The sequence below is a fragment of the Homo sapiens genome, chromosome 2, assembly GCF_000001405.40.
Source record: "Homo sapiens chromosome 2, GRCh38.p14 Primary Assembly".
NCBI lineage: Eukaryota > Metazoa > Chordata > Mammalia > Primates > Hominidae > Homo > Homo sapiens.
In genome coordinates, this window is record NC_000002.12 from 98,567,311 (window position 1) to 98,577,202 (window position 9,892).

The window sequence follows — 9,892 nt, forward strand, 5'->3', positions numbered from 1 at the left end:
GAGTGGGAGGAGAGTACACCAGACAGACCCACCCACTGAGCTCATAAACTGGCAGGAGAGTCGTGTCCAGAGGCAGGTGGTGAGCTGGGTTTGGACTGAGGGCACCAGCCCAGGAAGCAAAGCCCCAAAGGTGTGAGCAGAGCTGGAGGCGCCTATGTCAGGGAGAGGCGCAGCCTCACTGGAGCCCCAGCAGGGAGGTGGCCCAGGGGAGGGAAAATGATGGTGCCTGCATCCAGTAGCTGCGGATCCCACAGACTTGCAGGAGCAGTTTCTAGAGAGGGCTGAGCCAGAGCCAGGTGCATTGAATAGAGGGGAGGGTGGAGGATGCAACACTGAGGACAGAGAGGACTTGCAAAGGGCAGGTTCTTGACTTTGTTTCTTTATTGGCCCTGAGGTCACTGGTGAGCTGGGCTTGTTTATAAGCTGAGGGAAGAGCCCTCAGAGGGGAGGCCACAGGCCCAGAGTCAGGGATGGCCCCCAAGGGAGCAGGCGTCTAGAGAAAAGGCCATTGTGGACACCAGGGGTGGATGGGCTGGGACCCGTAGGAGGGAATCCTGCCCTCTGAGGGATGCTCTCGGGCCACAGAGAAGCTGATGCTCGGAAGGCCCCTCAGCAGGGATGTGTGAGACTGCACTGGGGCCCAGGACCTGGACTTCAGAGCCTGCATTTCCTAATGATCACCTTGTGCCTTCCTTGCAGGTGGCATTTTATGGCTTTGTTTCTTAGGCATTTGGCACATGCTCCTTGTAGCACACTGAGTGTGATCAGGGTGAACCTGCACGATGACGAAAGGGCAAGGGCTTCATGTCAGTCCCGGAGGGGCTGGCAGTCAGGTGTGTTCATTCTGCACACAGAGAGTGACTTCAGATTGGAGTACAGGGCTGCATCCTCACCTCTCAGCCATACCTCACTGCCGTCCCCCCTCCTAAGTGCCTCAGATGGGAGGAGACCAGGGACTCTGAGCCAAATGGCTGTGAGGGGGGATCCTGTGCTGCACAGGATCTGTACCACATCATGTTCTGGTCATCTCTCAGGCACGCCTGTAACAGTGATACATGATTCCTGCCAATGGAATGCATTTAAACTGATCAGCAACACTGTAGAAATGCCTTTATGCTCGGAAGAGGGAGAGTGGCTTAGAATTTAGATATGCATAGTAAATGTTTGAGAGAATCAGCATAGTTAGCTTCCATGCAGTTGTGTTCATGTTAGAAGAAAGTGACATTAGCCAACTAATGGCATCCCCTATAACCTCCCAAGGTTTGGCGATACGTCTTTACAAGAAGTCATCAACGTGGAGAGTTTGGTGCGGTTAAATTCCTACTTTGAGCAGTTTAAGGAAGTTTTGCCTGAGGATTGTAAGTATTTCTTCAGTCATGGTAGGTTTCACTTACTCGTCTTTTTATCAGTTTAGATGTCTGAGCTCTGGCTTGCCCTGCCTCTGTGAGTGCATGCCTGTGCATGTGTGTGCACTGTTCCCTTTCTCCCTAAACACACACACGCAGAGAGAGAGAGAGAAGCTTCCCTTGGCTGTGGCCCTCATTCATCTCTTTGCTGTCGATTCTCTACTAGCCTATGTGACATGGCTCCTTCCCATGCTGTCGTAGTCACTGACACAAGATGTGTTTGGTGGCATGCATTGTGCACCTCCTGGTAGGACTTGGGGGAATCACAGAGGCAGGACCCACCCTCGGCCAGGTGAGCGGCCCACTCACTTCCCTTTGTGGTGCTTAGAGAGGAAGATGCGGGGCCAACATTGCTGGGTGTTTGGGAGCAAGGTGGCCCCATCTCGGCATCTCCTGGAGGCAGTGGAGATGGTGACAGTAATCTCTCTGCGTGTCCTGCAGTGAAGATGCTGCAGCTAGGGCTCTGCAGCCACAGAACTAAGGGAGGAACCGAGAGCTGCACAGCACTGTCTACGAGAATTCCCTCTTGAGTTCAACCCAGTGAATATTCCCTGAGGACCTGCTGTGTGTAAAGTGCTAGAGGATCCGATGGCGAATGAGGGGTGGACCCTACCTTGGAGGGAAAGCTGGTCCCAGAGTGCCGGCCTCTCTGTGCAGGCGCTGCCACAGCCACTAGGGGGCGCCACGCGTCAGAAGGTATCATCCCCTCTGTGTTACACTAGTGTCCTCTGATGGGGGTTTCCAAAGAGGGAACCCACATCGGCTGGGCTTTGCATTGGGCAGGCTTCATCTGCATCCTGTTGGACGGTACGGTAGACCTTAGAGTTTAGAGATAGTCAAACAGTACTGCTGGTGAACCTTCACAGGTCACGGATGTGCCAGACACTGGGCTGGGCTCTACATACGTTTCCACGCTGAATCCACAACAGCCCTATGGGTCGGTGATAGGATCCATGTCCAGATGAAGAAAGGGGTGCCTGGCTCTGAAGCCCATGTGCTTGGATTGTGGCTGAAGCCGTCCTGCTAGGAGAGAGTGATGCAGAACACTCCGGGGCTGGGCCAAGAAGTCGTGGCTTCAGCAGGGAAGCAGTGGGAAAAAAGACGCCTCTTCACAGGTTCATCTAGCAAGAGTGTGCGGTTGGATTGGAAGAGGGGAGGCAAGCCGCTGATGGCCAGAGTGAGGCTGTGACACTTCAGATGAGATGTTGTTTCACTCTGACTCCAGCCTGGTAGTGACAGTGAGCGTGGAGAGAGGGATGAGGCGTTAGGGGGGTTTGGGCTGAGGATGCACTCCTCAGCGGCCACGTGCAGCTGGCGCTGGGGAGGTGAGGGCTGTGTCTGCTGGGAGAGCTGACAGACCTGGCTCTGGGCAAGGACGCTGGAGTTGCCGGCAACAGCTGGGGCCGTCCCGCTGATGAGAGAGGCGCAGGGCTACAGGGGACCGACAGCGAGTGCAGCACTGGCCCCAGCTGAGCTGATGACATGGGCAAATGACTTGTGGGGAGTGCAGATGTGGAGCCACAGAGCAGAGCCCTTTGGTGGTTGAGGCCACTGAGTGACAAGACGAGAAGGGGCTGGAACAGCATCTGGAGGGGCCCCTGCTCTGGGGGACAGCGAGGAAGAAGGGACTCAACAGAAGGCGAGAGAGAGCATCACAGGCTAGCAGGAAGAAGGCAGGAGCCAGGAGGGTGTGGGGCGCTGCCGGACACTGGATGTGTGGACAAGGAGCTGCTGGTGATCTCTCCCATACAGTCTCACTGTGGTGAGGGCTGGGCCAGGGATCAAGGGGTGATGAAATGGTGCTGCCCTGGAATGGACCACTTTGTCCCAAAGACTGTCAGCAACTTGAGGGATGGGGCTGTGGGCAGGTGGGACACACCCTGGAGCTGCAGGGGCCATGGGAGTGCTCAAAGGTCCGAGGGAAGGAGAACACACAGGGCTGGAAGATGCAAGAGGACACCAGAGTCACAGACCAGGCCCTGGAGTGGGCAGGCGGAGGGTGCCCTTGCAGGGAGGGAAGGAGGGAGGAGAGAAGGTAGGGACATGAATGGAGGAAATATGCTCAGGTTGGGCAGCCTCAGTCTCCCCAGTAAAACAGGTGTTCTTGTCCTGCTCAACATGAGAGAGGTGAGCACAGAACCGGGGCCTTGAGGGGAGTGGAGGTGACTGGCAGAGATGCAGTTGGAGCCAGAGAGCCTGGAAAAATACAGATGCCTGGGCCCCACCCCAGAGTGTGGTGGGCAGGACCTGGGCATTAGGGTTTCAGAAACTCCCCAGGTGGTCCCTGTGTGCCACAGCCAGGGTGGTAAACATAGCATGAAGTCAAGGTCCTGCGAGGACTTGGCAGCTGAAGGCCATCAGTGCCATGGACGTCAGAACTGTTAAGAAGGTGTCCTCATGCTCTTTAGCAGGGACCGGAGTTCAAACAGCAGATTTGTCACATGCTCGCCACAAGCTGGGCCCCCTACTATCCACTTTATGTGGATTCTCTAATCTGATCCCCACAGCAGCCCTGGGAAATGGGCACCGGTTTCACACCCACTTGGCAGGTGAGGAAACTGAGGCATGGAGGGCAAGTCTCCCCAGGAGCTGGGCCAAGCCCAGGCAGCATCTTCTGACTGCTGTAGGGGAGAGGATGGGCCCACCGGCAGGGCCAGCCAAGGAGCCACGAAGGTGAGCAGGGAGGGAGTAGGGGGCGCGTGCTGAGGCCTGGAGGAGTGGGAGTGGTGAGCGGCTGCAGTAAGTAGGAAGGGGGAATTTGTGCCTAGCACCTTAGAGGGCAGGCAGTCTCCAGGGCTCGGGGAGCTGTTACAATGGGCAGTGAAGGCCCAGGATGGGCGAGGCCTCCGGAAGCAGAGCAGCCAGGCTGGACCACGCAGGCAGGAACTAGTCGACTGGACCATGACCCAGGAAGCTGGGGCAGATGTGAGCCAGGTACCCCTCCCCTCAGCAGGATGGCTGGTCTCTGAGGCTGAGGAGATGGAGCCCACCAGCTGAATACCCCCAAACTTTGTGTGGTTCCTCAGTGGACAGGTATTCATTAAAGCAGGGGCTGCAGGGGCAACCAGCGAGAAGCCAAAGTGCATCTTGGGAGGTGAGATGGTGCTGTCTATGCCAGAGGGCAAATATCCTGACCTGGCTAAGCTCCCCTCCTCTGGGCTCCCACAGCTTCCGTCTCAGCTGATGCCACCTTTCCATCTTTCTGTCTCTGCCCTGTCCCCTGACCGGCGTGGTGTGGAGCACTCAGCAGCAACGTGAAGTAATTAGCACAGGACCTGTGTACGCCAGGGCGAGGCTGTGTGGTGGAAACCAGGTGTGCAGTTAGATCCCAAGTGCTGCCATGTACTTGGTTTGGCTTCGGGGATTCCGGCGCTGTGGCTGTTTTCCTTAGCCATGACCTTGAGGCTCTTCTCTTTGTCTCTGATAATCCCAGTGTTTGAAAATCCCAGAGTACCTTTCCAGGAGTGGTTGATTTTTCCTCAGTTTTGTCTGGGGTTTCTTGGTAAGGTGACCTGATGGATCTTCAGGCCCAAGGGGTCCTGGAAGGGCCTAGAGACTGCCAGAGTGGAGGAGGAGCTGTTAGGATGTGGGAGCAGGGGCTTCTCTGGGTCCCGCAGAGATGTGTTCTCCTGGCATGGGCCAAGGGCCCCCTGGAGGAGGCTGCACTTTCCTGATCCCTCCCAAGGTTTCCAGGCCTGCTCAATGGCTCAGACCCACTGCCCCAGTTTCTTCTACCCTCGGGAAGTTTTGACGACCAGCTGGATCCCTCTCACTCCCTCCTAACTCCCTCATCTGGGAGGGGTGCGGGAGGCATGGGTATTTACAAGGAGTCCTGTAGGTGATTCGGTGGCCATTCCCAGCCCCTCAGAAGAACTGAAGGGAGATGAAGGAAATGTCCTTTGAAGGTGGCAGTAAAAGAAATTAAGTGCTCACCACACCAGCAGCCATGTCCTATCCCCAAACACCTCCATCCCTTCTTCAACCGGGAACTCATTGTTTTACCACTGTGTGCCCCAGCAGCTCACTTGGGTGGGCTCCCTCTGCCGGGGGAGTTCCTGGGTGCGTCACCCACTCCCACGAACTCCTTTTCTCTTCCAGGCCTGCCTCGGTCTCGCAGTCAGACGTGCCTGCCAGAGCTGCTGCGGTTTCTGGGTCAGAACGTGCATGCCCGGAAGAATAAGAACGTCGACATTCTCTGGCAAGCTGCTGAGGTACTGGTTACAGAGAGGAAAAGGAGGCTATTGCGGTGCCCACAGCTGAACGTCATGACAGAAACATTACAAAGTAGAATCTCAGCAGGAGAGCAGAGCTCTCCATACTGGGAGAGGAGGGAGTCACTGAGTACGTTCTGAAGCTCTGAAAGAGACTGAACAGTTCACAGAGTCCATTCCTTTGGGGCTGCCTGAATTCTGATAAGCTTAACACAGTCCATCTCTTGGGGCATTTACTAGCCAGGCTGATGACAGTTGTCACCCTCAGAAGCCTGGCGATCGATACCAGCTGAAAACCACTGTCTACTGCATCATTTAATAGGGTCAGAAGGAGGCCATGTGACCTTTCAGGTCTCTTTAAACCATCTTTATCGTCCATTGTGCCTCTGATCTCCTCATTTTCCCAAGCACTTACCCTGCTCATATTTTCTCCAAAGTTTACTTGTGGAATTCCAAGCCACTGCTCTGAGCCTGGGTAACAGACCAATTTCATAGCTGGTCATTCATTCACCCTTGATGAGGGGCGAGGTTAATTCTTCTCCACAGCAGCATAACCTGCCCAGCGCTGGGACTCGGGCACACATGGCCCCAGTGGCATTCCCGCTCCCTGCCTGGGCCTGAGGAGAGGGATGGTGAGCCCAGGAGGGAGGTGGCACTGCACTGCCCACCACACCTCAGCCACCACGCCTCGTCACAGAGCTCGAGCAGCAGAGGGTCCAGCCCTCCACAGCTTCCCTGAGCAGCTCACTCTGAAGTGTGCCTCTCCGTCTTGTCAGGAAGGTGCTTCTCTCAGCCCCGAGTCTCTTCTACAGCAGCAGACCGTCTCAGCTGCTCATGGTGCATGGCCGCCACTTCGGGTTGGTTATTAGTCCTGTGTTCAAGCCGGGCTTCATGAAGCCGCACTTTTTGAATGTGCTCCACTTCTGGGTTTGTTAACAGTTGTGGCTGCTGATACCATTTTGTTGAATTCAGCTTTAAAGAGTGAACATTCCCCTCCATCTTTTGAGTTCCTCAGCTGGTCAGACTTTATCTTTGTGGGAAGCGTGGGGTGGATCAATCTGCAGGTCTCCCCTCTCTGGGCCTGGCTGCCCTCTAAATCTTTTCATTATAACAGAACACATTTTGAAGCACAAAGTGACAGGAAGTTCGGCAGGTTTCTCAGGCCTCATTTTTGAGGTATCCTCTTGGTTTTGGGGCCTCATCTGGCATTGCTTGCTCAGGCCAGGCCCAGCAAGCGGGGTGTAGGGCAGGGCACACACTGGCTACGGGGGTCTCTGCAGCAGGACAGAGGGGGCTCCCTACTTTTATTTTTCCTGGGGGGTTGCTAAACCCCCCTGGCCAGGCTGTGACAGCCTCTTACCTAAGTACCTTAAGAGATTTTGTGTGAAAAGCAAGCCTTTCCCACAGGACACGAAGAATACAGAGGGTGGCCGGGCTCGGTGGCTCACGCCTGTAATCCCAGCACTTTGGGAGGCCGAGGTAGGTGAGTCAGCTGAGGTCAGGAGTTCGAGACCAGCCTGGCCAACATGGTGAAACCCCATCTCTACTAAAAATACAAAAATTAGCCAGGCGTGGTGACGCATGCCTGTAATCCCAGCTACTCGGGCGGCTGAGGTAGGAGAATTGCTTGAACCTGGGAGGCGGAGGTTGCAGTAAGCCGAAATCACACTACTGCACTCCAGCCTGGGTGATAGAGTGAGACTCCATCTCAAAAAAAAAAAAAAAAGAATGCAGAGGGTGACACAGCTAGGTGTCTGAACAGTGGTGGGGGATGTGCGTTCACTGATGCGTTCTCCTTGGAATACACACACAGGCAGTTTACAGACGAGTAGTGCAGAGACCTTGTGCATATCTTGTTTGGGAACTGTGGTTCTACCTGTCTATTGCCATATAATAGAAAAATCATTAAGTATAGGGACAACTGACCATCCCCTGTCACCAGAACAGAAAAGCAGTCCATCAAGTCCTGTATTTCTTGTTCCCAGTAGAGATCTCAGGGTAACAAGCATGAGTGTAGAGGTGCAAGGCTCTCAGAGACCCTTGGCTGCATGGGTTCTCACGTTGTCCACCGAATCCCAGGCATCCCCTGGGGATAAGGGGTTGTGGGGCAGCAGTGCCAGCCACTCAGGTACTGAGTCCTTCCATCCCCAGTTTGAGCAGAGCTGCTCTCCTTTTCAGGCTCTTATTTCTTTTTGTTTGTGTGTATGAATAAAGGGTCCCTGGCTGAATAGCTGGAATATCTTTAGTCAGGTCTAAGCCTATATCTCATGGATGGGGAGACCCAGCAGTGCACCACAAGTGGCTGGTGTCCCTCTGGGATGGAAGCCTGGCACTGCAGTGCCCTCTTGGGCAAGGATGCATCACTGGCCATCCCTGCCTGCCTTCCAGAACCTCACGTTAGCTCTGGATGCAGCATCTATGAATTTAAAGCTTTTTGAAACCTATAGTTCCAGCTTCCGTCATGTGTTTGGGTCATGAACTCTACAGCCCACAGAATTTAGTGCACATACCAAGTTCACTCTTGCTTTGTCAGTTACAACTTTACAAATTTGATTAATTTACTCTCCATTAGCTTAGGGTCTGCTTATCTGCTTAGGGCCTGTTATTTTTTTTTCTTTCTTTTTGTTGGTCTGTTCTCAGAAGAAGCCTATTCTCCTTCTGATTGTCTTGCCTGAACATTGGGTCTTTTGTTTTGCCTTTCCCTAGACGAGGTTCTTAGCACTGTACCATGTTCGTGTCTAGTGATGATCCTGGTAGTGACTGGCATGCTCTTTGGCTTTGCTGGCCTGACAAGCAGGTGTTGTGCCATCTTCAGGAGTTGATGAGACACTGATATTTTTCTGGCATACAACAGATACCCGGAGCCCACCATCATATCACTTGGATGATGTTTCATTAAATACCAGCCTTGGTGTCATAGTGCAGTATCTGATACGGTGCATAGTCCTTTATCTGAAGCCCCTGTGGCCAGATGCTTTGGAATGCACAGGTTTTCAGATTTTAGAAAGTACTGTGGTACACAGTTGGTGTTTACTTATGTAAGTAATATGGTGCCCATCGCATATGTGTACCATGGTATACATACAGGATTTAACATCCCCGGGGGAGCCTGAGACAGCACTCTGCAACCAAGCTCATATTATTGCCACACTGAAAAGTATGAATATTTACATAAAATGGGATAAGTAAAGATTGCAAGTAGTCTTATATCAGCTCAGGTCTGGTTGTGCTGCCAAATGAGATTGCCACAGATTTACATGAAAAAATTACCTTGTTTCAGAGCTTGATGGATTTGGTGACTGTGTGCCTAGGATTGTATCTAGAGGTGCAGGGAAAATGCCCTGAAATCTCCCCATGGGGAGAGGAGGTGCACTCAGGTGGCCTTTTCCCAGTCCAGAGGCTGCCCTGCCCCCTACTCTGTGAGCCATTCAGTTGTGAGGAGGGAAGTGTGCTGGCAGTAACTCTGCTACCGGGAAAGTATGGCGGGAGGAGGCCTGTGGGGCTGGTGGTCAGGAGGTGGCCAAAGGGCAGTGCAACTTCTGAGCTGCTCCCGTCTGTTCAGGTGAAAGAGGAGAGTAGAGATAGTAGGTCTGTTCCCTACCTTCCAGGGAGACCTAGAGACCTGGCCCAGGACTGTGGGCATCCTGAGAGTGGCTCTGGCTTCCCCAGTGGGTCATATTTGCCGCCCTCTTTCCCTGAGGGATCAGCAGTGAAGGGCTGAACGTGATAAGAGGGCCCAGGCATGGCTTGGAAGGGGACAGCGGACTGCAAAAGAGTGTCCTGTGGGAGAAGGCAGGCCACACAGGGGATGGCAGGGATGATGGCAGGCCTACAGGCGGCAGGCCCCCAAAAGGGCTGGTGTCTGTAAGTGACTTGGTTTCTATTGCCAGCTCTGGCAGGGCATGGAGTTGGGGAACAAAATTGGAGCGTCTGGCCAGGCCTGGGTGTTGAGTTTCTGTTCCTGCCCTTGCTGGGCTGGTTGGGAGCCTTTCCTGTGTGTGAAGGGTGCTGCCTTTCTGTGGAGCCTCGCCTCTAAGCACGGCCCATGTTTCTGTTGGCAGATCTGCCGCCGCCTTAATGGGGTCCGGTTCACCAGCTGCAAGAGCGCTAAGGACCGTACAGCCATGTCGGTGACACTGGAGCAGTGCCTGATCCTGCAACACGAGCATGGCATGGCCCCGCAGGTCTTCACCCAGGCCCTGGAGTGCATGCGCAGGTGAGTGCCGCAGCCAGGCCGCGCGCCCCGCCTGCCCCGGCCCGTGTAAACTGCAGATG

At 54.3% G+C, this 9,892-nt stretch overlaps 1 protein-coding gene across 46 annotated transcripts in view, besides 1 other annotated feature; it reads left to right on the forward strand.

Moving 5' to 3' along the window:
• The window catches only part of INPP4A (inositol polyphosphate-4-phosphatase type I A), a 149,806-nt gene that overhangs the window by 122,724 nt on the left and 17,190 nt on the right, over window positions 1–9,892 (forward strand). For 45 of the 46 annotated variants that reach the window (XR_922915.3, XM_047444199.1, XM_047444209.1 and 42 more), the window contains 3 exons: window positions 1,261–1,358; window positions 5,505–5,617; window positions 9,679–9,833. Coding sequence is in view for 44 of the 46 variants with exons in the window: in XM_047444199.1 (XP_047300155.1) it covers window positions 1,261–1,358; window positions 5,505–5,617; window positions 9,679–9,833 (366 nt within the window). In the remaining 2 variants the exon portion in view is untranslated. Of the gene's footprint in view, window positions 1–1,260; window positions 1,359–4,574; window positions 4,720–5,504; window positions 5,618–9,678; window positions 9,834–9,892 lie in introns of those variants that run through there. The other variant, XR_007074203.1, reaches the window with a different exon arrangement.
• Window positions 6,938–7,120: a silencer, noted in NCBI's record as "fragment chr2:99190711-99190893 (GRCh37/hg19 assembly coordinates)". NCBI's record gives its function as "represses an EF-1alpha promoter that drives an FKBP-Casp9 reporter gene in an ReSE screen in K562 erythroleukemia cells {active_cell/tissue: K562}" and the evidence as "EXISTENCE:reporter gene assay evidence [ECO:0000049][PMID:32094911]".